We start from the raw sequence: 24,853 nt of genomic DNA on the forward strand, positions 1-24,853 counted from the left end.
TTTGAACAATTTATCTTTTTTTTTTTTTTGTTTTGTTTTGTTTTGTTTTTTTGAGACGGAGTCTCGCTGTGTCTCCCAGGTTGGAGTGCAGTGGCGCGATCTCGGCTCACTGCAAGCTCCGCCTCCCAGGTTCATGCCATTCTCCTGCCTCAGCCTCCCAAGTAGCTGGGACTACAGGCGCCCGCCAACACGCCCGGCTAATTTTTTGTATTTTTAGTAGAAACGGGGTTTCACCGTGTTAGCCAAGATGGTCTCGATCTCCTGACCTCGTGATCCGCCCGTCTCGGCCTCCCAAAGTGCTAGGATTACAGGCGTGAGCCACCGCGCCCGGCCGAACATTTATCTTAAATAATGTGGTAGCTATTAAATTCCATTACTTGGAGTATTATTTCCAGGTCTTTTTGAAAGCCAGCTATCCTTTTTTTTTTTTTTTTGATAAATAGTTGAATTGAAATTAAAAGGCAAAGTCCCTCCCTCCTGAAAGAGACTGCCAGAAATCAGTATGATACTTACTTATTCCTCATTGTCTAACAGTGTTTGGAGATTGTTAATCATATGTAATATAATGTTCCAATATTATTTTTGGCATTATATACCAATAGCTATTTTCTGTACAATAAACTATTCATTATTATGCCTTAAAAAACATTAGCCACTTAAAACTTTTTGTTAAAATTTGGGGAATTAACTCTTCTTGTGAGTAAAGTATTAACAAACCTCCTTCTGTATGGAAAGATTACAATGGGTTAGCCTTCTACTGCTGCTTCTGATAAAAGTAAAAATGATCCCTGATTGGTAACCTACCTTGGGACTGGGAAGAGTGTGGATGGATCATAAATACTGCTGGGAGCTATAGCTTTGGGCTTCCCATAGCATATTTCTTCTTACTGGGTATGTCCCTCCTTGTGTTTAACACCTGACCTGTCTGTTTTGGAGCTGGAGAATTGTCTCTGAACTCCTACTGAAGAGACATACTTGATGCTGTCCTGCTGACATGCTGTGTTCCTGGCCTGCATCCTTCTTCAGAACTAGTCTGTGTCACATTTTGGCCCATTGAATCTTGTTAGTTTGATTGCCCTGCTGAACCCAACATCACTGCTGCTGGTTGAGCAGAATAGGCATTATACTATCATAAATATTTAATATGAAAAGTGTAATAATAATAATGATAATAATAACAGGTAATTCTTCCTTTATTTTTCAGAAATGTGTTACGGATGAGTGTTTCTTTTTTGAACGATTGGAATCTAATAACTACAATACTTACCGGTCAAGGAAATACACCAGTTGGTATGTGGCACTGAAACGAACTGGGCAGTATAAACTTGGATCCAAAACAGGACCTGGGCAGAAAGCTATACTTTTTCTTCCAATGTCTGCTAAGAGCTGATTTTAATGGCCACATCTAATCTCATTTCACATGAAAGAAGAAGTATATTTTAGAAATTTGTTAATGAGAGTAAAAGAAAATAAATGTGTATAGCTCAGTTTGGATAATTGGTCAAACAATTTTTTATCCAGTAGTAAAATATGTAACCATTGTCCCAGTAAAGAAAAATAACAAAAGTTGTAAAATGTATATTCTCCCTTTTATATTGCATCTGCTGTTACCCAGTGAAGCTTACCTAGAGCAATGATCTTTTTCACGCATTTGCTTTATTCGAAAAGAGGCTTTTAAAATGTGCATGTTTAGAAACAAAATTTCTTCATGGAAATCATATACATTAGAAAATCACAGTCAGATGTTTAATCAATCCAAAATGTCCACTATTTCTTATGTCATTCGTTAGTCTACATGTTTCTAAACATATAAATGTGAATTTAATCAATTCCTTTCATAGTTTTATAATTCTCTGGCAGTTCCTTATGATAGAGTTTATAAAACAGTCCTGTGTAAACTGCTGGAAGTTCTTCCACAGTCAGGTCAATTTTGTCAAACCCTTCTCTGTACCCATACAGCAGCAGCCTAGCAACTCTGCTGGTGATGGGAGTTGTATTTTCAGTCTTCGCCAGGTCATTGAGATCCATCCACTCACATCTTAAGCATTCTTCCTGGCAAAAATTTATGGTGAATGAATATGGCTTTAGGCGGCAGATGATATACATATCTGACTTCCCAAAAGCTCCAGGATTTGTGTGCTGTTGCCGAATACTCAGGACGGACCTGAATTCTGATTTTATACCAGTCTCTTCAAAAACTTCTCGAACCGCTGTGTCTCCTACGTAAAAAAAGAGATGTACAAATCAATAATAATTACACTTTTAGAAACTGTATCATCAAAGATTTTCAGTTAAAGTAGCATTATGTAAAGGCTCAAAACATTACCCTAACAAAGTAAAGTTTTCAATACAAATTCTTTGCCTTGTGGATATCAAGAAATCCCAAAATATTTTCTTACCACTGTAAATTCAAGAAGCTTTTGAAATGCTGAATATTTCTTTGGCTGCTACTTGGAGGCTTATCTACCTGTACATTTTTGGGGTCAGCTCTTTTTAACTTCTTGCTGCTCTTTTTCCCAAAAGGTAAAAATATAGATTGAAAAGTTAAAACATTTTGCATGGCTGCAGTTCCTTTGTTTCTTGAGATAAGATTCCAAAGAACTTAGATTCATTTCTTCAACACCGAAATGCTGGAGGTGTTTGATCAGTTTTCAAGAAACTTGGAATATAAATAATTTTATAATTCAACAAAGGTTTTCACATTTTATAAGGTTGATTTTTCAATTAAATGCAAATTTGTGTGGCAGGATTTTTATTGCCATTAACATATTTTTGTGGCTGCTTTTTCTACACATCCAGATGGTCCCTCTAACTGGGCTTTCTCTAATTTTGTGATGTTCTGTCATTGTCTCCCAAAGTATTTAGGAGAAGCCCTTTAAAAAGCTGCCTTCCTCTACCACTTTGCTGGAAAGCTTCACAATTGTCACAGACAAAGATTTTTGTTCCAATACTCGTTTTGCCTCTATTTTTCTTGTTTGTCAAATAGTAAATGATATTTGCCCTTGCAGTAATTCTACTGGTGAAAAACATGCAAAGAAGAGGAAGTCACAGAAACATGTCTCAATTCCCATGTGCTGTGACTGTAGACTGTCTTACCATAGACTGTCTTACCCATCCCCTGGATATGCTCTTGTTTTTTCCCTCTAATAGCTATGGAAAGATGCATAGAAAGAGTATAATGTTTTAAAACATAAGGCATTTGTCTGCCATTTTTCAATTACATGCTGACTTCCCTTACAATTGAGATTTGCCCATAGGTTAAACATGGTTAGAAACAACTGAAAGCATAAAAGAAAAATCTAGGCCGGGTGCAGTGGCTCATGCCTATATTCCCTGCACTTTGGGAGGCCAAAGCAGGAGGATCGCTTGAGCCCAGGAGTTCAAGACCAACCTGGTGAAACCCCGTCTCTACAAAAAAACACAAAAAATAGCCAGGCATGGTGGCGTGTACATGTGGTCTCAGATACTTGGGAGGCTGAGGTGGGAGGGTTGATCACTTGAGGCTGAGAGGTCAAGGTTGCAGTGAGCCATAATCGTGCCACTGCAGTCCAGCCTAGGCAACAGAGTGAGACTTTGTCTCAAAAAAAGAGAAATTTTCCTTAATAAGAAAAGTAATTTTTACTCTGATGTGCAATACATTTGTTATTAAATTTATTATTTAAGATGGTAGCACTAGTCTTAAATTGTATAAAATATCCCCTAACATGTTTAAATGTCCATTTTTATTCATTATGCTTTGAAAAATAATTATGGGGAAATACATGTTTGTTATTAAATTTATTATTAAAGATAGTAGCACTAGTCTTAAATTTGATATAACATCTCCTAACTTGTTTAAATGTCCATTTTTATTCTTTATGTTTGAAAATAAATTATGGGGATCCTATTTAGCTCTTAGTACCACTAATCAAAAGTTCGGCATGTAGCTCATGATCTATGCTGTTTCTATGTCGTGGAAGCACTGGATGGGGGTAGTGAGCAAATCTGCCCTGCTCAGCAGTCACCATAGCAGCTGACTGAAAATCAGCACTGCCTGAGTAGTTTTGATCAGTTTAACTTGAATCACTAACTGACTGAAAATTGAATGGGCAAATAAGTGCTTTTGTCTCCAGAGTATGCGGGAGACCCTTCCACCTCAAGATGGATATTTCTTCCCCAAGGATTTCAAGATGAATTGAAATTTTTAATCAAGATAGTGTGCTTTATTCTGTTGTATTTTTTATTATTTTAATATACTGTAAGCCAAACTGAAATAACATTTGCTGTTTTATAGGTTTGAAGAACATAGGAAAAACTAAGAGGTTTTGTTTTTATTTTTGCTGATGAAGAGATATGTTTAAATATGTTGTATTGTTTTGTTTAGTTACAGGACAATAATGAAATGGAGTTTATATTTGTTATTTCTATTTTGTTATATTTAATAATAGAATTAGATTGAAATAAAATATAATGGGAAATAATCTGCAGAATGTGGGTTTTCCTGGTGTTTCCCTCTGACTCTAGTGCACTGATGATCTCTGATAAGGCTCAGCTGCTTTATAGTTCTCTGGCTAATGCAGCAGATACTCTTCCTGCCAGTGGTAATACGATTTTTTAAGAAGGCAGTTTGTCAATTTTAATCTTGTGGATACCTTTATACTCTTAGGGTATTATTTTATACAAAAGCCTTGAGGATTGCATTCTATTTTCTATATGACCCTCTTGATATTTAAAAAACACTATGGATAACAATTCTTCATTTACCTAGTATTATGAAAGAATGAAGGAGTTCAAACAAATGTGTTTCCCAGTTAACTAGGGTTTACTGTTTGAGCCAATATAAATGTTTAACTGTTTGTGATGGCAGTATTCCTAAAGTACATTGCATGTTTTCCTAAATACAGAGTTTAAATAATTTCAGTAATTCTTAGATGATTCAGCTTCATCATTAAGAATATCTTTTGTTTTATGTTGAGTTAGAAATGCCTTCATATAGACATAGTCTTTCAGACCTCTACTGTCAGTTTTCATTTCTAGCTGCTTTCAGGGTTTTATGAATTTTCAGGCAAAGCTTTAATTTACACTAAGCTTAGGAAGTATGGCTAATGCCAACGGCAGTTTTTTTCTTCTTAATTCCACATGACTGAGGCATATATGATCTCTGGGTAGGTGAGTTGTTGTGACAACCACAAGCACTTTTTTTTTTTTTAAAGAAAAAAAGGTAGTGAATTTTTAATCATCTGGACTTTAAGAAGGATTCTGGAGTATACTTAGGCCTGAAATTATATATATTTGGCTTGGAAATGTGTTTTTCTTCAATTACATCTACAAGTAAGTACAGCTGAAATTCAGAGGACCCATAAGAGTTCACATGAAAAAAATCAATTTATTTGAAAAGGCAAGATGCAGGAGAGAGGAAGCCTTGCAAACCTGCAGACTGCTTTTTGCCCAATATAGATTGGGTAAGGCTGCAAAACATAAGCTTAATTAGCTCACATGCTCTGCTCTCACGTGGCACCAGTGGATAGTGTGAGAGAATTAGGCTGTAGAACAAATGGCCTTCTCTTTCAGCATTCACACCACTACAAAATCATCTTTTATATCAACAGAAGAATAAGCATAAACTAAGCAAAAGGTCAATAAGTACCTGAAACCAAGATTGGCTAGAGATATATCTTAATGCAATCCATTTTCTGATGGATTGTTACGAGTTGGCTATATAATGTATGTATGGTATTTTGATTTGTGTAAAAGTTTTAAAAATCAAGCTTTAAGTACATGGACATTTTTAAATAAAATATTTAAAGACAATTTAGAAAATTGCCTTAATATCATTGTTGGCTAAATAGAATAGGGGACATGCATATTAAGGAAAAGGTCATGGAGAAATAATATTGGTATCAAACAAATACATTGATTTGTCATGATACACATTGAATTTGATCCAATAGTTTAAGGAATAGGTAGGAAAATTTGGTTTCTATTTTTCGATTTCCTGTAAATCAGTGACATAAATAATTCTTAGCTTATTTTATATTTCCTTGTCTTAAATACTGAGCTCAGTAAGTTGTGTTAGGGGATTATTTCTCAGTTGAGACTTTCTTATATGACATTTTACTATGTTTTGACTACCTGACTATTAAAAATAAATAGTAGATACAATTTTCATAAAGTGAAGAATTATATAATCACTGCTTTATAACTGACTTTATTATATTTATTTCAAAGTTCATTTAAAGGCTACTATTCATCCTCTGTGATGGAATGGTCAGGAATTTGTTTTCTCATAGTTTAATTCCAACAACAATATTAGTCGTATCCAAAATAACCTTTAATGCTAAACTTTACTGATGTATATCCAAAGCTTCTCATTTTCAGACAGATTAATCCAGAAGCAGTCATAAACAGAAGAATAGGTGGTATGTTCCTAATGATATTATTTCTACTAATGGAATAAACTGTAATATTAGAAATTATGCTGCTAATTATATCAGCTCTGAGGTAATTTCTGAAATGTTCAGACTCAGTCGGAACAAATTGGAAAATTTAAATTTTTATTCTTAGCTATAAAGCAAGAAAGTAAACACATTAATTTCCTCAACATTTTTAAGCCAATTAAAAATATAAAAGATACACACCAATATCTTCTTCAGGCTCTGACAGGCCTCCTGGAAACTTCCACATATTTTTCAACTGCAGTATAAAGTCAGAAAATAAAGTTAACATAACTTTCACTAACACACACATATGTAGATTTCACAAAATCCACCTATAATTGGTCAAAGTGGTTGAGAATATATTTTTTAGTAATTGCATGCAAAATTTTTCTAGCTTCCATCCTTTCTCCCTCGTTTCTTCTTTTTTTGGGGGAGCTGGTAACTGATGAAATCTTTTCCCACCTTTTCTCTTCAGGAAATATAAGTGGTTTTGTTTGGTTAACGTGATACATTCTGTATGAATGAAACATTGGAGGGAAACATCTACTGAATTTCTGTAATTTAAAATATTTTGCTGCTAGTTAACTATGAACAGATAGAAGAATCTTACAGATGCTGCTATAAATAAGTAGAAAATATAAATTTCATCACTAAAATATGCTATTTTAAAATCTATTTCCTATATTGTATTTCTAATCAGATGTATTACTCTTATTATTTCTATTGTATGTGTTAATGATTTTATGTAAAAATGTAATTGCTTTTCATGAGTAGTATGAATAAAATTGATTAGTTTGTGTTTTCTTGTCTCCCATTTCTTTGTGTCTTCTTGTCTATGAATTCTTTTTTCTTTTTTTTTGTTGGGGAGGGGCAGGTGGAAAGATCTGATCTTGGAATAGGGATAAATATAGAAAAATGGATTAAAAACAATTATGAGATGACATGGACAATATTCTTATGGCTGACATGATTACTTTTCTTCCTGTTAGAGTTCTATCTATCCATCACGTGATAAAAGAAAAGAATGAGAAATTATAACATACTCATAAGGGAGCTGTACCTTTGGCTAGTACCCTATATTCTTCATTCATAAAATAAGTTATGGTCCTTTTACTGGTTTGCTTTGTGACACACTCATTTCCTGGATGAATGCTTCTTAAAAGAATGTGTCATTTCTCAACTATGCTAGGTTGGAGACCAGTGGCATGGTTCCCAGAGTTTCCATAGACTGTTGATTATGTGGGTACAGAATTCAGGCTTTCAGTGTCTGGGCTAGGCTTGACATTAATTTATAAAGGATATTATGCTTTACTTTATTAATGTAGAAATATATCTGTAAATATACCTCTATATCAATGCACTGTCTTCTAGATTCCATTTGGAAATATTCCCAGAAGGTTTATTTCTCCAGAAACTATGCAGTCTTTGTCTTGACAAGATGTTGAACTTTACCACCATAAATTCCATTTACTTTTTGAGACAGGGTCTCATTCTGCTGGCCAGCCTGGAGTGCAGTGGCACCATCAGAGCTCACTGCAGTCTTGACCTGCCTGGGCTCAGGTGATCCTCCCACCTCAGCCTCCTGAATAGTTGGGACTACAGGTGTGCACCACCACACCTAATTTTTTTTTTTTTTTTAGAGATGAGATTTCACCGTGTTGCCCAGGCTGGTCTTGAACTCCTGAGGTTCAGGCTATCCTCCCACCTGGGCTTCCCAAAGTGCTGGGGTTACAGGTGTGAGCTACCATAACCAGCCTGCAAGTTCTGTTTCTAACAAAAGAAAAGTTATAATGGAGCAGACCAATGTTTCCTAAAAACAATAAAAGTCAACTTTAAAAATCTTTGACCATAAATGATTAGAGATTGTTAATTAAATCTGGAGATGAACTTATTAGAAGGGGGAAAATGCTAGACATAAGGATTGAAAACAGCTCACACAAATTTGATTTTGACTATTTCATAAACCTTTTATATGGAAATATTAGGTATATGTTTATGCTGGTAAGTATTTTGTGACATTTTATGGCACCACTTAGGTTTTTAAAATGCTTACTTCTCCCCTAAAAAAGTTTGAGCCTGAGTATAGTCTTAAGCAGTAGACAGTCCTAAGCTATGTGGTTTGTGAAAAATCTAGTTAATGTCCTAGATATGATCAGTAGTGAGATGAGCATGTCTTCCCACTTTTTTTTCTTTATATCAAACAATTCCCATTAGCTGTGTTTGGCAATATAACAACAACATTAAAATACTAATGCTGGGCACAGTGCCTCACATCTGTAATCCCAGCACTTTGGGAGACTGAGATGGGAAGATCACTTGAGCCTTGGAGTTCAAGGCTGCAGTGAGTTATTGTGCCACCGCACTCCAGCCTGGGCAACAGAGTGAGACCCCAGACGCTATGCCAGGTCTGACCCACAGTCTCTGACTGAATGACGGATGAAAAAATGCACTCAGGCACAGATCACAGATATCCAATGAAAGAGCAGGCTGGGGACTGGGCCACTCATAGAAAGAGTTGCAGTAGCCACGGCCCTGACAAGCCAGTGCTGCGGGCATTTACTCAGTACAGATTTAATGACAAAGGCCTTGAGTCAACACAGTTGTGGGTAATTAACATGGTCATGCACCCCCGCCACCCCCCCCCCGGCCCCCACCACCACTGCCCCAGAGAGATTAGTCCTGTGCGCCAACGGTTAACTTACCTAGATCAGGTTCTTTACATCCCCATGTTACCTAAACTAAGCTTTCAGGCACCAGGTAAGAGAATCTGGCTGCCTTCATCCAAATCCTTTTCCGAAGCTTTTGTAAACCTTCCAGCCTTCCAAGAAGGTTTGCATCTTTCTACAATTTTTGCCACCACCCTGACCAATCTCCTACACTATGCTAAATATTTGTATAAGAATTATGCACATTTAAACTTCCTTTTTTTCCTTCGGAAATCCTTTTCCGAAGCTTTTGTAAACCTTCCAGCCTTCCAAGAAGGTTTGCATCTTTCTACAATTTTTCCCACCACCCTGACCAATCTCCTATGCTATGCTAAATATTTGTATAAGAATTATGCACATTTAAACTTCACAATACTCCCATGAGAGGCTATAATTTGTTCCCACTTTAGAGGTGATGAAACACTTGACTGGGGTCACACATCTAGTATGTGATAAACTCAGTGTTAAAATCCAGGCAGGCTGGTTCTAACCATCTTTTAAGAAATTGTAAAAGTCGATTTGATATTTTCTCACTAATCCTTAGTGACTGTCCACTGCTTTTTCATATACCTTTTAATCTCTTCCTGGGACCTAATTGGAACATTCTATGTAAATCCAATTAGATTCTGTGTCTTAGACTTACACTTTTCCAGGGCTCACGAATGTGGACTACAGTTTAGTGCCAAATGTCTTTGTATCTATCTGTTGCTTGTGATTTCCCCATCTAGAATGTTCTGATTGGCATGGAATTTATTTCTTAGCTAGTGATCTTTTATTATTCTTTCTTTCCAGTATATTGTTTTATGGCAAAAAAATTACTGAGGATTGGTTTTGAAAATGTAGCCTATGAGATTATGTTTTCATCTTTGTTCTCCCTTCCTATAAAAGAAGATGATATCTCTATGCCTCAAGTGTAAAATTCCATGATCCTTTTTTTTCCTAATCTCAAAAAAGGAACTTTCCACTCTCTTGTGAAACAAGTATTCTAAAATGCTCTTGTGCTTAGCTGCTTTGTTGGGTGCTACTCAACATTCACATATATGACCCCTCCCTGCTTTGAGTTGGTGAGGTCTAGTTCCTTTAAGCATATCTGATTTTCACATACTACAAAAGGTATAGTAACCTTTTAACTTATAAAAATATGTGATTTTAACCATATTAAAGCATATCTGATTTTCACATACTACAAAAGGTATAGTATCCTTTTAACTTATAAAAATATGTGATTTTAAACCATATTTAGATTAGTTCCATCATATTTTGGAATGGTGAATGGTATGACAATTTTCCTATACATTTGCCAATTACAAGTCTGATGTTCTTTGTGTGTGTGTAGCAGTAAATGGAAAACAGAAGACAGTGTGGATGATGTAAGGGTGGTCTCATTTATCACTCTGCAATCCTTCCTTCCCCACTGTTAGAAATTGCTAGCCCAAGAAATAATCATTTTGGCTACTAAGAAAGGGTAAATTTTCTGATGCATTTTTTAGAGATATTAACAGAATGTAAGATACTTTCTCTGTTAAAGCATGTTCAAGTTTAAAACCACTATTTCTTTGAAAACTTATCCTGAAGATAAACTCGTTTATTTGAGGGTTTCTAGAATGGGTGAAAGGAATGATTCATTTTCTGATTCTTTTTCTGTTTTCCCCGTTCCACAGACATCTGCTTTCCTAAGCAGAGGATTCATTTTAAGACCTTCCCTAGGCATGGCTACTGAAATCCTAACCAGAAGTTTGTATAAACACAACCCTTAAAAGACTACTAATTTCTTTCAGCCATATCTCCAGAACTCAGAGCAAGGGCACAGACCTGCTAGCCTTTTCCCTTTGGTTCTCATATATATGTGACCCTCTTGTTCTGTCTTTACTCCAACTTGGTCAGATGCCAGAAATTTGGTTATCTTTTATTTTTCATTGTTCTAGTCTTTAATAATCCTATCGCCTTTTATAATTCAGACCTACTGTATTTAGATAAATCTCATTAGATACAATATTATCACTGTTACCAATGAGACAGAAGCTACCACAGAGTGTCTCATAAGTTTGTTCATTCATTCAATAGAAATTTATTGCTTGTTAGGTGTTGGGCATACAGAAGTTAATGTATATGGCAAGCATAAAGAAGTTAATGTATATTGGGCATACCGAACATAATGTACATGGCAAACCCAGTCATTCTTTTTATCTTGGCACCATGTGTTTTTCTTAATAACACTTATCTCCACCTTACATAACATTTATTCATTTTATTATTTGTATCTTACACATTTGAATGTAAGCTCCATATGTAGAAACTTTGCTTAACTCCATATGTGGAAACTATACATCTGTTCACTGATGTATACCTAGTGCTTAGTGCACCATGTATTTTTCTTAATAACACATCTCCACCTTATATAATATTCATTCGTTTTATTATTTGTATCTTATGCATTTGAATGTAAGCTCCCTATGCAGAAACTTTACTTTGTTCACTGATGTGTACCTAGTGCTTAGAACAGTGTATACAGCAGAGTATGTATAAGAACTCAGTAATATTCAGTGAATGAATTAATGGGTCCCTACCCTTAACTCTTGAACACCCAGTTTATGGGTTTAAGTCACTGTTAGGTCCTTTATTACCTAAAATATTGGGGTAGGGATGAAGGACTGGAATATGTGTGTAGGGAAAGAGAAAGGACATGTGAATGTCAATTTAGATATGTGTTTGAATTTGTGCATATGCTCGTGTTGAGGGTTAAATTTTCCTCTGCAAAAAACACTTGACATTAATGCCTGGGGAGAGTGAGGTACATAAAGAAAGGAGAGCAACTGGCTTGGATATCTGAAAAGAATGCCAATTAGTTGTTTATAATAAGTAAATAAGTATATATAATCTACATCTAATTTATTAAACATTAAATATAAATTACATATCATTAATAGCTATCAGTTATATTGAAATATCACCTAACACCAAACATTTACAGAAATTAAATTATTCCTCTTATTTTTATTACAACATTGAACTATATGTTAATTCTTAATTTTCATATTTTTTTGCTCTCTTTGATGGATCTCTGTTTATAACTTAAAAAAATCAAAACCCTACTTAGGAGTGTCATTCCTACTTAATCCACAAATAAACTTTCTTATATAATTTGAACTTCTTTAGCTTCTACCAGTACCAACTGCCTAAAAGTGTAGGGTGAACATGACTAGATTCTGAAAAGCATCACTTTCTTGGTCTTAAAGGACCAATTATTGGCAGGTTTGAAAATCAGCAGAGCCAGGAAGCTCAATGTGCTAGTTTAGTGGTTCTCAAACTTTACATCAGAATCACCTGGAGGGCTTGTAAACACAGAATTGCTGGGCTTTATCCTCTAGAGCTTCAGATTCTACAGATCTGGGGTGGGGCCTGAGAATTTGCATTTTTAATAAGTTGATGCTGTTATTGTCTCTCAGCTCCGAATCTGCCCTTCTGTACTTGCTTAGTGATGCTGGAGCTGGGATTCTGCTAACCAGTTTCTGCTTTGCCAGCTGACTCCCTTTTATGCTCCACCATTAGACTGCAAGGCTGGAGGAGGAAGGGACTAGCTCCTTAATGTGGGCCTTCTGTGTGCTCGTGGTTCCTGTGAGTATCACTGCTTCAAGGCTGCTTCACTCTAGCAGCAGCATTTCCTTCCCATAGTATCAGCAGAATCCAGTTTGAAGTTTTCCTAACATTTGTAAAAGAAGCTTCATTTTGCATCCCCTTCCCAAGAGACACCAGCAAGCTGATGCCTCATTCTCAGAGATCTGGGTCCAGATAAACCAGCACCAGCTGAAGAGCAAGAGGTTTGAGTTTTAACTGTGCATGGTCCCACATGAAGGGACCCACAACCCACCAGAATGGCATAATGATGACTCTAAACTGAAGATATTTAAGATACAGCAGATGCAGAAAGAAGCATTTGTGAGCTTCCCTTATCTGACTAAAGGCAAAGCTTTCTGAGAATGAAGCTGCCATTAATCCCCTGAGTAGGAGTGGGGGATTGAGGGGGTTGGGGAAGCTTTCAGCCAGGAAGGAGACTGACCATTAGCACCTAGATGAGAAATTGCATAACAAAACTTTGTCAGAAGCTACTATGCCTGCATGTTTTCACTAGAAGTCCTATACCCCTGTATCCCCTTTTATTAAGATGATATACTATACAGTATATAAACCCTTACCCCTGGCCAAGGCATTCCTTATAGAGTACTCTTAAACTTTTCTCCTGTTAATCTATCTGTTGTCAATTAATTTGTAGCAACATCCCCTCCACCCAGTTCTAAGTTGGTAGATGAAAAGTTTTCTTCCCCACCTACTTTCTATAATTTTTTTTTTTTTAGACAGAGTCTTGCTCTGTCAGCTAGGCTGGAGTGCAATGGCATGATCTTGGCTCACTGCAACCTGTCTCCCAGGTTCAAGCGATTCTCCTGCCTCAGCCTTCCAAGTAGCTTGGATTACAGGTGCATACCACCATGCCCAGCTAATTTTTGTATTTTTGTAGAGAAGGGGTTTTATCATGTTGGCCAGGCTGGTCTTGAACTCTTGACCTCGTGATCTGCCTGCCTCGGCCTCCCAAAGTGCTGGGATTACAGGCGTGAGCCACCGTGCCTCGCCTCTTCCTCACCTACTTTATGACTTAACCTTTTTGGTTGACTTTCCCAGTCTGTGAAATGAGGACAGGTTGCTATGATGATTAAAGTAGGTAATTAATATACAGCACATAGTGTGTCTGGAGTTGGTTCCTTCCAGTGGGTTCTTGGTCTCACTGACTTCAAGAATGAAGCCGCGGACCTTCGTGGTGAGTGTTAACAGCTCTTAAAGGTGGCACAGACCCAAAGAGCGAGCAGCAGCAAGATTTACTATGAAGAGCCAAAGAACAAAGTTTCCACAGCATGGAAGGGGACCCCAGCGGGTTGCCACTGCTGGCTGAAGTGGCCAGCTTTTATTTCCTTATTTGTCCCTGCCCATGTCCTGCTGATTGGTCCATTTTACAGAGCAGTGATTGGTCCATTTTACAGAGTGCTGATTGGCGCGTTTAGAATCTTCTAGTTAGGCAGAAAAGTTCTCCAAGTCCCCACTCGATCTGGGAAGTCCAGCTGGCTTCACCCCTCAATATGATAGTGTGAAGCACAGGTTAAACATTCACTATATGCTAAATGGTATTATTAATAAAATCAAGTTTCTTAATGTCTTACATTAAGTTGATTTTCTCAGTAGTTTTGTCACACTATAACATTAAAGTTGCATCTTCCAGGGTTTTAGATCATAGCATATTTTACTCAGTAGGTTCTTTTTACATTTGGATCTTTTGTTATTTGAATGCGAATGAGGATGATCATTCATATGTATGTCTGTGTGTATACATGTTACACAGAGACAGTCCCATTATTTGCTTACCCCTCTATGTGCTGTTATACTTTACCTCTGCCAACATAAAAGTGGTCTTTTCCACATAGGAAATTTTAGGAGTGCTATGCCCATATTCTCACCCATGAGTCACAGACAGAACTAGGACTTCGAGAGGTCATCTCTCATTCAGGTATTCTCTGATAAGTCACTCAGTGCCTAACACATCTATGACAAATGGTTTCCTGGCTTCCACAGTTTCTTCAAATCCTTTAACAAATATTTGGAGGCTAAGACTGCAGGCTAGTCAGTAAAGATGCACAAGGATTTCTTGTGCATCTGATTCCTTGTGCACTGATGACTCCTAAGAGGTCATCAGTTCTGGTTGCCATCCTGAATATTCCAGACTATTTCTGATTTTAAGTACACTGTCCTAATATTATTAAATACTCTATCTTTTGCAGAGCCCTCAGGCAAGGGGAGGCTGTTTTCTGTAGCCAGAAGAAGGGTGCTGCTTCTACTGGCTCAGAGGGTTCAAGAGAATTTGAAATTCAAAATTCTTATGTCCATTCACTCAGGGTCGCAGGATCCCCACTCTTTTCCTGTTAGGGGATTGGCTTTGACATAGGACACTTGTCAAACTCTATTCAGTCTCCTTTGCAGCTCTGATATTCTTACAGTTGGATCTAGGCCTGATTTTCAATATTGCCTTTGTGGCTGGAGAATATAGGGGTCTCTTTAAATGGTGCCATGGAGGTCTTGGGGTATTCATATTGTGCCTTGAATTGACAGGCTGACTTGAGCTTGTCATTTTTATTTTGCCAAGGCATCTAAACAAGTTAACAAAAGCTAGCCATCTCCAAAGCTATATAATTATTATTACGTACTTTTAAAGTGCCATGGCTACCAAACGACTCAATACTTCTGTTTCCATCTGTACCTCATTCCTTTCCATATGTAAGAATCTTAGTAGCTGCTATGTTACTATATGCCAGGGCTTATCACTACCCAACTCTATTGATGCCAGCATGCTGACTGGACCTGGAAAGTAGGAAGTGTCACGTATTCTAGATGTCCTAGTAAGACATCTAGGTGCTAGAGGATAGGAGATGCCCCTATTAAGTGTTTAGAAGTATAGTTGTCAGAGGTGTTTAAATCAGAGTGACCCCATCTTGTAAAGAGGCTAGGTAAAATAAGGCTGAGACCTGCTGGGCTGCATTACCAGGAGGTTAGGCATTCTAAGTCACAGGATGAGATAGGAGGCCACACAAGACACAGGTCATAAAGACCTTGCTGATAAAACAGGTTGCAGTAAAGAAGCCAGCCAAAACCCACCAAAACCAAGATGGGGATGAAAGTGACCTCTGGTCATCCTTACTGCTCATTATATGCTAATTATAGTGCATTAGCATGCTAAAAGACACTCCCACCATGACAGCTGACAAATGCCATGGTAATATCAGGAAGTTACCCTATTTGGTCTAAAACGGGGAGGAACCCTCAGTTCCGGGAATTGCCTGCCCCTTTCCTGGAAAACTCATGAATAAGCCAACACTTGTTTAGCATATACTCAAGAAATAACTCTAAGTATCCTTAGTGGAGAAGCCCAAGCCACTGCTCTGCATATGGAGTAGCCATTGTTTATTCTTTTCTTTCTTTTTTTTGAGACGAGTCTCACTCTGTCGCCCTGGCTGGAGGGCAGTGGCATGATCTCAGGTTTCGGCAACGTCTGCCTCCTGGGTTCTAGTGATTCTCCTGCCTCAGCCTCCTGAGTAGCTGGGATTACAGGCATGCGCCACCATGCCCTGCTAATTTTTGTGTTTTTTTAAAGTAGAGATGGGGTTTCACCATGTTAGCCAGGCTGGTCTCAAACTCCTGGCCTCAAGTGATCCACCTGCCTCAGCCTCCCAAAGTGCTGAGATTACAGGCACCAGCCACCGCACCTGGCCTATTTCTTTACTTTCTTTTTTTTTTTTTTTTTCTGAGACAGAGTTTCGCTCAGTCACCCAGGCTGGAGTGCAGTGGCGCGATCTTGGCTCACTGCAACCTCCACCTCCCGGGTTCATGCCATTCTCCTGCCTCAGCTTCCTGAGTGGCGGGAACTACAGGCGCCCACCACCACGCCCGGCTAATTTTTTGTATTTTTAGTAGAGACAGGGTTTCATGTGTTAGCCAGGTTGGTCTCGATCTCCTGACCTCGTGATCTGCCCGCCTCGGCCTCCCAAAGTGCAGGGATTACAGGCATGAGCCACTGCGCCCGGCCCCTTTACTTTCTTAATAAAACTTGCTTTCACTTTACGGATTCACCCAAATTCTTTCTTGTGTGAGATCCAAGAATCCTATCTTGGGGTCTGGATCAGGACCCCCTTCTGGTAACAGTAATCTGTAGATCTCTAAGGTATGGGCGATTTGGTGCACCTTGCAACTATCCCCACTCACAGCACTTGGAGCAATACTTTTTTACATTTTGGAAGCAGCATATATCATATTTGGGAATATCTCTCCAATTCATTTCTACTAACAAAAAGCCTGGATCCTTTCCTCCTACTGTGAATTGTAACTAAAAATAAAATCCTAAACCCCTCCCAACTGAATGGACCCCCTCTTGACCAAGGGGACCCCAAAAAAATCTTATAAACTAAATCCCCAGCCATGATGTGTAGGGAGGTTGGACACACCGCATTATACCCCTTCCTTTTTGGAGTTTAGTCACAACTGACCATTATTATGTTAACATAAGGTAACAAAATGGACTCTTTGTGACAATAAGATACCAAATTATAAACAGGATCTAAAGCCATGCCAGACAAGGGTTAAGTCACACAACCCTGCAGGTCACTCTGACCCAGTGTAATATTGGTTGACAGACTTCTTTATTTTAACTTAAAACATTCTTTCTGCTGACTCTAAATTTTTAGACAAAGCTTCACTTCCTTAATCAATTGTAAATTAGAGAATCTGTGAATCTACCTATAGCCAGTAAGCCCCCTCTTTAAACATCCTGCCTCTTCAAAACATCCTGCCTTTTCAGGCGAAATAAATGTATACCATCCACATATTGATTTATGTCTCTGCTTGTAACTCCTGCCTCCCTCAAACTTATTAAACAAAACTGTAATTCAATTGCCCACTGGCACACGTTTGCAGGACCTCTTGAGATGCATTTCCCAGACCAAGGTCATTCATTGGTTCAAAATAAACCTTTTAAAAATGTTTTACAGAGTCTGACTTTTCCATTAACAGAATTAATAAAATGGCATTCTGATTTATAAATTAATCTCTTATTACCCTGACTTAATCTTACTCAAAATCCAAACAACTCTGAGTAAAGGAAAACAATTAAAGTTTGTTAACTTTTAAAGGACCAACTGCTGAATCATGTGTTCTCTGAAAAGTTCAGCCATCTCAGTGAGCAAAAAACAAAAGGATTTTTAATAAAAACTTCTTTCTTTCTTACTTACAGTCTACAGTCTTTATTTGGGTCTTCTAAAAACTGTAAAAATAGATCATCATCCTAGGTTTTGAGAAGAACTGATAATTACTCTATATCTCCTTAAATTAATCATCTCCCCGCCATCCCAGCTTTTTTTTTTTTCTTGAGACAGGGTCTTACTCTGTCATCCAGGCTGGAGTGCAGTGGCTTGATCATGGCTCACTGTAGCCTTGACCTTCCAGGCTCAAATAATCCTTCCACCACAGCCTCCCAAGTAGCTGGGACCATAGGTGCGCACCACCATTCCTGCCTATGTTGTTTTTTTAGTCTAGGTTTAGTGAAAAGATTACCCTATAGGCTTCTGATTCTGCCTATTAACTAGTTGCATAATGTTGAATAAGTTATTGTAACCTCTCTAAATCTCAGTCCTAAAATAATGGAGATAATAATAAGTATGATTATTAAATGAGAAACATTTCATGGAAATTATTTCATGCAAGTATTTTATGTCATCACAAATTATTTGATTATCTGGTTTTATTTCTACTGACAGAGCAAAACATGATAGAATTAAAATTTTTTTTTTACCCCGAAAACCTCATAAACTAGGATCAGGAATGTGTGCTATAACAGAGGAATAAGTATTAGCAAATGTTTGGCTATGACTTCTTAGGAGGCTAAAGGCCAGAACAGAGCCTTCTGTGCACTACAGGCTGGTACTACCACTTTATTAAGGTTTTTAATTCTCTTTAGAGATGACTACAGGTTCTAAGAGCCACCAAATAAACCATTCATGAACCTATCTAGGGTTAATTACTCAACAGTCACCAAGCCTAAAGGTATGACCTTCAAATGACTGTAAAGGCCATACAAAAGAAACTCAGAGTGGAAAAAGGGAAAACTCTCCACTTGAATCTTTGTAAGTAAACATTACAGGATGAACTCAGTTATTCCAAAGAATGATGCAAACAGTGCCACTGTGGATTGAGTTTTCCCCTACAATGGGATGACGCCTATTTATTTGTTTTGTCATTAGGTCTGGATCTCCCTTTGTTTTCTGACTATGTTGAAAAACACTAAGAAACATTTCAGAAAACACTTTCACTTATTTGAAACTAAGATGAATAAAACTAGAGACGCATTAAGTGCAACCATGATTTAACAGAGAACCATAAAAGTTTTAGTGGTTTACCTGGAATTCAGGCAAATTTATTAAACATAGTTTTCACTATTACCCTGTTTTAAAAATATAGCCCAACTCAATTCTTTCCTTTTCAATTACATATTTCAAGTACAGATTGCTCTGGGAGTTTGATTTCTGTAAGCTGAACCTGTTAAGTCACTTGTCTTTGCAGGTTTTATAAAGAAACAAAAAAATCTACTCAAAAAACATAAAGCTGTCTAGGTTTGGAGTAAGACAATTCAGCTATATCTGCCAGGAAAGCTCCTTTTTTTCCAGATTCCAATGCAGTTTTTAACATTAACATACCCAAGTTTGTTTTCTATGAATTTCTGTGTTTTATGACATGAATAATAACATGGCTAGATTCTTATTTGGTAGATTAACCAACCCTGAAGGACTGCTTGGAGTGGCACAATCATGTTATCTGGCTGTCTTTCAGCCTCTGTTAAAGTCCATAATGAAATTTTATTTGACAAAATCACTTCTGAAACCCAGTGTGCTATTTAAAAAACCTTCATGGTTTACCCTTTTCTTTCCATACTACCAAAGTGGCTTAGATCACATTTTATCCATATATTGTATAAGTATTTATGCTATGTACATGGAAGATACATAGAATTAAGTATTACAATATTTTGTTTGACCATTGAGTCTAACTCCTAAATTTTATAAATGGGGAAACTTAGGTCCCCAGAGTCAGAAAGACAGTTAATGGCATGGCCAAATCCTAGGGACCCGGGTCTGCTGATTCCGTTTTGTCTCATTAACATCATTCACATGAGCCCAGGAAAGATTAAATAAATTCTGGTGATCTACTTCTTCTTTAAATGAAAAGAGAGATAATTAAAGGGATATACTTAGAAGACAGTAAAACCCTTTTATGGTATCTCTTTAGAAGTAACTGCTACATACCAAAGTATAGTTTTGTTTTAAACATAACAAAAGAAATTAATCAATTTATGTTACTTGTACATACAGTATTTCGGGCATATCATCTATCTGCTATATTGGAGAGAGTTATAATATCCACTCTGGGTTGAAGCCAACTTTACAAAGTAGAAGTGGCAAAGGGATTGGAACTCTGGTCAGTCTGGCTCCCAAGTCCATTTTGTTCATATCAGCTCCCTCTCATTGGGCATACTGTTGTCAGGCTAATTTGCATATTGTTATTAGATTAATTTTGTCCATATATCATCTTCATCATTTTGTCATCACAATCAAAATCTTTTAATAGTTACTGTTTCCATGTCAAGTCTAAACTCATCTGCCTGGTTCTCATGACTAGGCCCTACTTTTACCACTCAATAATGCCTCCTACTCTCTGGTCATAACCGTTACATATATATGTCCCAATTCAAATATAAAACTTATTGAGGGCTAGGTACAATACTACTTTAGGTGTTCTATAAATTTCTGTTGAGGACAAAAAGCTTAATTTGAATCAGAGATCCTGCCTTAATGAAAACTTCAAAGTTACTTGGAGCCATAAGAATAGTTTTAGATAGCATTTCCAAGAAATATGTGACACTGCTTTCAGCTATCATTACAAACATTAATTTAAACTTTAAGAACATATGTGGTGGGGAAAAATGTTTGACTATGTCCACTAATATTTGCTGAAGTCTCAGAAAGTATCAAAATCATTATTCTCTTTCACTTTTACTTCTGACTCCTGAGCATGAAAACATCTGATCCCTAATCACGGTACTTCTCTGGGAAATATTTGTTGCTTCTAGTCACCTAGACTCCTTATCTTGGTATCCAATCCTCTTCACATTGTTTCCAATCTAGCTCTCAAGTCAAATATCTTACCACTGTCCATATTCTGGGCCACACTGAACTTTTTACCATTATTTCTAAACTATGTCAGTCCCTTTCTGAGCTCTGTGCCTTTGTATAAGCAATTCGAATTTTATCAGTTTGTTTTTTATTTTTTTTCTTCTGCACCTGGAAAGCTCCTACTCATTCTTCAAGACCTAGTTTAAATTTCACCTCCTTTGAGAAGTCTTTGGGGACTTCTTCAGGCAAAGTTAATTGCTGTCATCTATTGTATGACTGTCTTTCCAAATAAATAGTAAGCTGCAGGGCATAAGGTATATCGTCTTACTGCTTTTTATATTCTCAGCACCTGGCACAGAGTAGAAACTCATTGAATGCTGAATGAATGGAAGAATATCTTGGTAATATATTAAAGCAGACTTGTCTTCCCAATTAAATACAGTCATTTATAATTTTCCTTTAGCCATAAAGTAATAGATAGTAACACTGAGTGTTACCTGGAAATTTTCAAGGTCTGTATAAGTAGTTTGGTTTAAATAAATATCTAAGGTGATCCATAACTGCTTAGAAATGATTTTTAAAATACCTTTCTATAACCCCTTAGGCATATTAAAATTTCTATATTTTATTCTTCTCTAGAAAGAAATAAACATTTAGGAAGCAATTTATAAAACAGAAGCAGCTTACTTTATTTCGATCTTGTACAACCAGTATTTTTCTAGTACTTTCATCAAATACAGCTCCTATTAGGGGAAAAAGAAAAGATAATTGAGAAATATTAATTTCATTCACCTTAATCTCCTCCCACACTCTCTATCTGTGGTGATAAAAATTCTACCCATACTTGAAGCCTTGGTTCAAATACAGGTTGAGTATTCCTTATCTAAAATGTTTCAGAGCAGAAGTGTTAGATTTTTCTGGATTTTGGAATATTTTCATATACATAATGAGGTATCCTGGGGATAGGACCCAAGTTTAAACATGAAATTCATTTATGTTTCATATACACCTTATACTCATAGCCTGAAGGCAATTTTATACAATATTTTAAATAATATTGTGCATGAAAACAGTTTTGACTGCATTTTGACTGTGACTTGTCACATGAGGTCAGGTATGGAATTTTCCACTAGTGGCATCATGCCAGTGCTCAAATACTTTTGGATTTTGCAGCATTTTGGATCTTAGATTTGTAGATTGGGGATGGTCAAGCTGTACCACCACCTCATCCATGAAGACACTAAGTGCCTGTCTTAGTCCATTTGGGCTGCTATAACAAAATAACCACAGACTGGATAGTTTATAAACAACAAACTTATTTCTCACAGTTCTAGAAGCTAGGAAGTCCAAGATCAAGGTGCTGGCAGATTCAGTGTCTAATAAGGGCTCATTCTTTACAGACGATGCCTTCTAGCCCTGTCCTCACATAGTGAAAGGGGCAAACAAGCTCCTGTAGGCCTCTTTCATAAGGACACTAATCCCATTCATGGGAGCTCTGCCCTCATGATCTAGTCACCTCCCAAAGGCCCCACCTCTTAATACCATCACATTGGGGATCAGGTTTCAACATATGAATTTTAGGGGGAACAAACATTCAGACAACAGATGTGCTTACAATATTTATTGAATAAATGAATTGACTTCTCATTTTTATTCCTTGAATCACTATGCATACAACACAGGCTGTGCCCCCTGATGATCCAAATCTCAAATATCTCAATATTCATTTCAAGACCTTTCTGAAGCCAATTAAATTTTCTTATTATGTATATACACAACTTTATAATCTACTAATATACTGCTTTGGAAGAGTTCTTTGTTTTATATATGTTTTAAGTTCTAGTTCATTTTTTTTTGTTTATTCATTCATCATACACATTGCATATTCTCTCTTTCTTTTTAAAAATATTTCCCTTTGGGCAATCTTGGGTCAAAAATACAAATGACGTATTAGTGATTTTTATTATGATCTTTTAGATGTTATGATTTAAACATTACTTGTATTTAAATAATGTGGGATGACATTTTTTAAAAGATACTTTCTACATATTTGTCCATGCTTTCAGTATTAACTGAGTTCCTCTATATAATGTACATAGATCCTGTGCATATTAATTGAGCTCCTACTATGTGCCAGGCACTTTTCTAGGTGCTACAGATACAGTGGTGAACAACACAAATGAAACTCCCTATCCTTATGGGGTTCACATTCTGGTATGTGTGTGGGGAGGCGCCAAAACAAACAAAAAATAAATTATATAGAATATTAGAAGGTGATAAATGCTATGTAGAATATAGAGAAGGAATAAATATGTGTAACATGGGGAAAAGTAATTGAAATGCAATTGAAATGAAAACACCACACTTGACTATTTTAAAGCAGGAAGGAAAATCACCAAGTGAGATATAATTAACATTAATGTTGGCTTCTATTAGAAAATGTAAGCTATAATTTAACTGGACTTTACAAGAGGTAGACTGCCAAAGAAATGCCAAGGAAACTTACTCTTAAATTTTAATAATTTGTGGTTACTCAAATTGAACTTGTCCCTAATGAATTCACTGTAAACATGAGCACAGTATCAGAGACAAAACCAGCACCACTAAAGCACAATTTGAGCGACCTCTGCTGGTCACAACATAAAAATTATTATTATGATTAGGCACTGTGCTTCAACGTACATTAGCTCAGGTATAAGTCACAATAATCCTGTGAGTGATATGAGTGTCTGGCTTCATATAGCTCTAACTGGTAGAACTGGGACTGATAGCCAGTCTGTCTGGATTCTAGGCAGGCACACTCTTCTCACTGTGCAATGCTGCCCCTCAACAATACTGAAACTTCTCTCTCAGAAGACTCACATTTCCATCCCATTCATTAAAAAAATATTGAATATCTACTTTATGTCACTCGCTGTCTTTAGCTTGAGGATATCGTGGTGACCAAGACAGATAAAATATCTGCCTTTATGGAGTTTATATTATTGTGGGGGAGATTAAGTGATACAATATAATTAATTTACATACATGATATAATAGAGTTTCAGACTGTGATAAATGCCATAAAGAAACATAGAGCTGGATAAAGGGACAAGGAATGATGGCACTAGTGTGCAGGGAGAAGTCACTTCTAACAGAAGGGTCAGGGGCTTTTCTGAGAAGGAGACACTTGAGCAGAAACTTCGGCTATGAAGAACTAGATAAAGAAAGTTCTGGAGAAGCATGCTGCAGGAAGAGGAGCCAGTAGATGTCAAGGCTCTGAGTCAGACACAAGCTTGCTAAGTTTGAAAAGCAAAAGAAAGCAATGGCTCCAGCTATTCCAGCCACATCTGCCTTCGGTAGTTTATAACAAATGCCAATTATTTTTCTTTCCACCTAAAAACTCTGCACCCCAGCCTGGGCAACATGGCGAAACCCTATCTTTGCAAAAAATACAACAATTAGCCTAGCATGGTGGCGCATGCCTGTAGTCCCAGCTACTTGGGAGGCTAAGGCAGGAGGATCACTTGAGCTAAAGAGGTGGAGGTCGGAATGAGCCCAGATCATGACACTGCATTCCAGCCTGGGTGACAAAGTGAGACCCTGCCTCAAAAAAAAAAAAAAAAAAAAAAAAAAAAACAACTCTGCACCTTTCCAGAACAATTTCTTACATTACCTCGTCCACACCCCCAACAGTGGCTTCAAATCCTAGTTAGTGTTCAAGATTGGTCAAGTTCTGCATCTCTTATTCTTTGAACTGCTCTGACACTCTAAACTATAATGTACAATATACAATATAGTACTTAGTTATCAACAGGCCCTTCATAGGATACTCTTTTTGCATATATTACCAATTCTGTAGTAATAACTGGGAACTCTTAAGAGTCTGTGCCCGTGAATGATAATTATTTGCATAACTTTCCATTGAAGTGTGAGGCTGTCACTAAATTATTGAGTAGAATCTTTTGAAATAGAGCTGAACGGAGAGTTTCTGAATGTC

General features: G+C 37.0%; 2 protein-coding genes across 4 annotated transcripts in view, besides 1 other annotated feature; one reads left to right on the top strand and one right to left on the bottom strand.

Moving 5' to 3' along the window:
* Nucleotides 1-7,230, top strand: part of FGF2 (fibroblast growth factor 2) — a 71,555-nt gene extending 64,325 nt beyond the window's left edge. For both annotated transcript variants that reach the window (NM_002006.6, NM_001361665.2), the window contains exon 3: nucleotides 1,205-7,230. In NM_002006.6, the coding sequence (NP_001997.5) occupies nucleotides 1,205-1,390 (186 nt within the window). In that variant the 3' untranslated portion in view covers nucleotides 1,391-7,230. The remainder of the gene's footprint in view (nucleotides 1-1,204) is intronic.
* The window catches only part of NUDT6 (nudix hydrolase 6), a 30,392-nt gene continuing 7,109 nt past the window's right edge, over nucleotides 1,571-24,853 (bottom strand). For both annotated transcript variants that reach the window (NM_198041.3, NM_007083.5), the window contains exons 3-5: nucleotides 21,562-21,617; nucleotides 6,618-6,672; nucleotides 1,571-2,219 (exon numbers count right to left, since the gene is read on the bottom strand). In NM_198041.3, coding sequence (NP_932158.1) covers nucleotides 1,822-2,219; nucleotides 6,618-6,663 — 444 coding nt within the window. In that variant the 5' untranslated portion in view covers nucleotides 6,664-6,672; nucleotides 21,562-21,617 and the 3' untranslated portion in view covers nucleotides 1,571-1,821. The remainder of the gene's footprint in view (nucleotides 2,220-6,617; nucleotides 6,673-21,561; nucleotides 21,618-24,853) is intronic.
* Nucleotides 15,808-16,102: an enhancer, noted in NCBI's record as "tiled region #4593; K562 Activating DNase matched - State 5:Enh, and HepG2 Activating non-DNase unmatched - State 23:Low". NCBI's record gives its function as "activates a minimal TATA promoter and a strong SV40 promoter by Sharpr-MPRA in K562 cells, with weak activation in HepG2 cells {active_cell/tissue: HepG2 | K562}" and the evidence as "EXISTENCE:reporter gene assay evidence [ECO:0000049][PMID:27701403]".

The sequence above is a fragment of the Homo sapiens genome, chromosome 4 (genome assembly GCF_000001405.40).
Source record: "Homo sapiens chromosome 4, GRCh38.p14 Primary Assembly".
NCBI classification, from domain to species: Eukaryota; Metazoa; Chordata; class Mammalia; order Primates; family Hominidae; genus Homo; species Homo sapiens.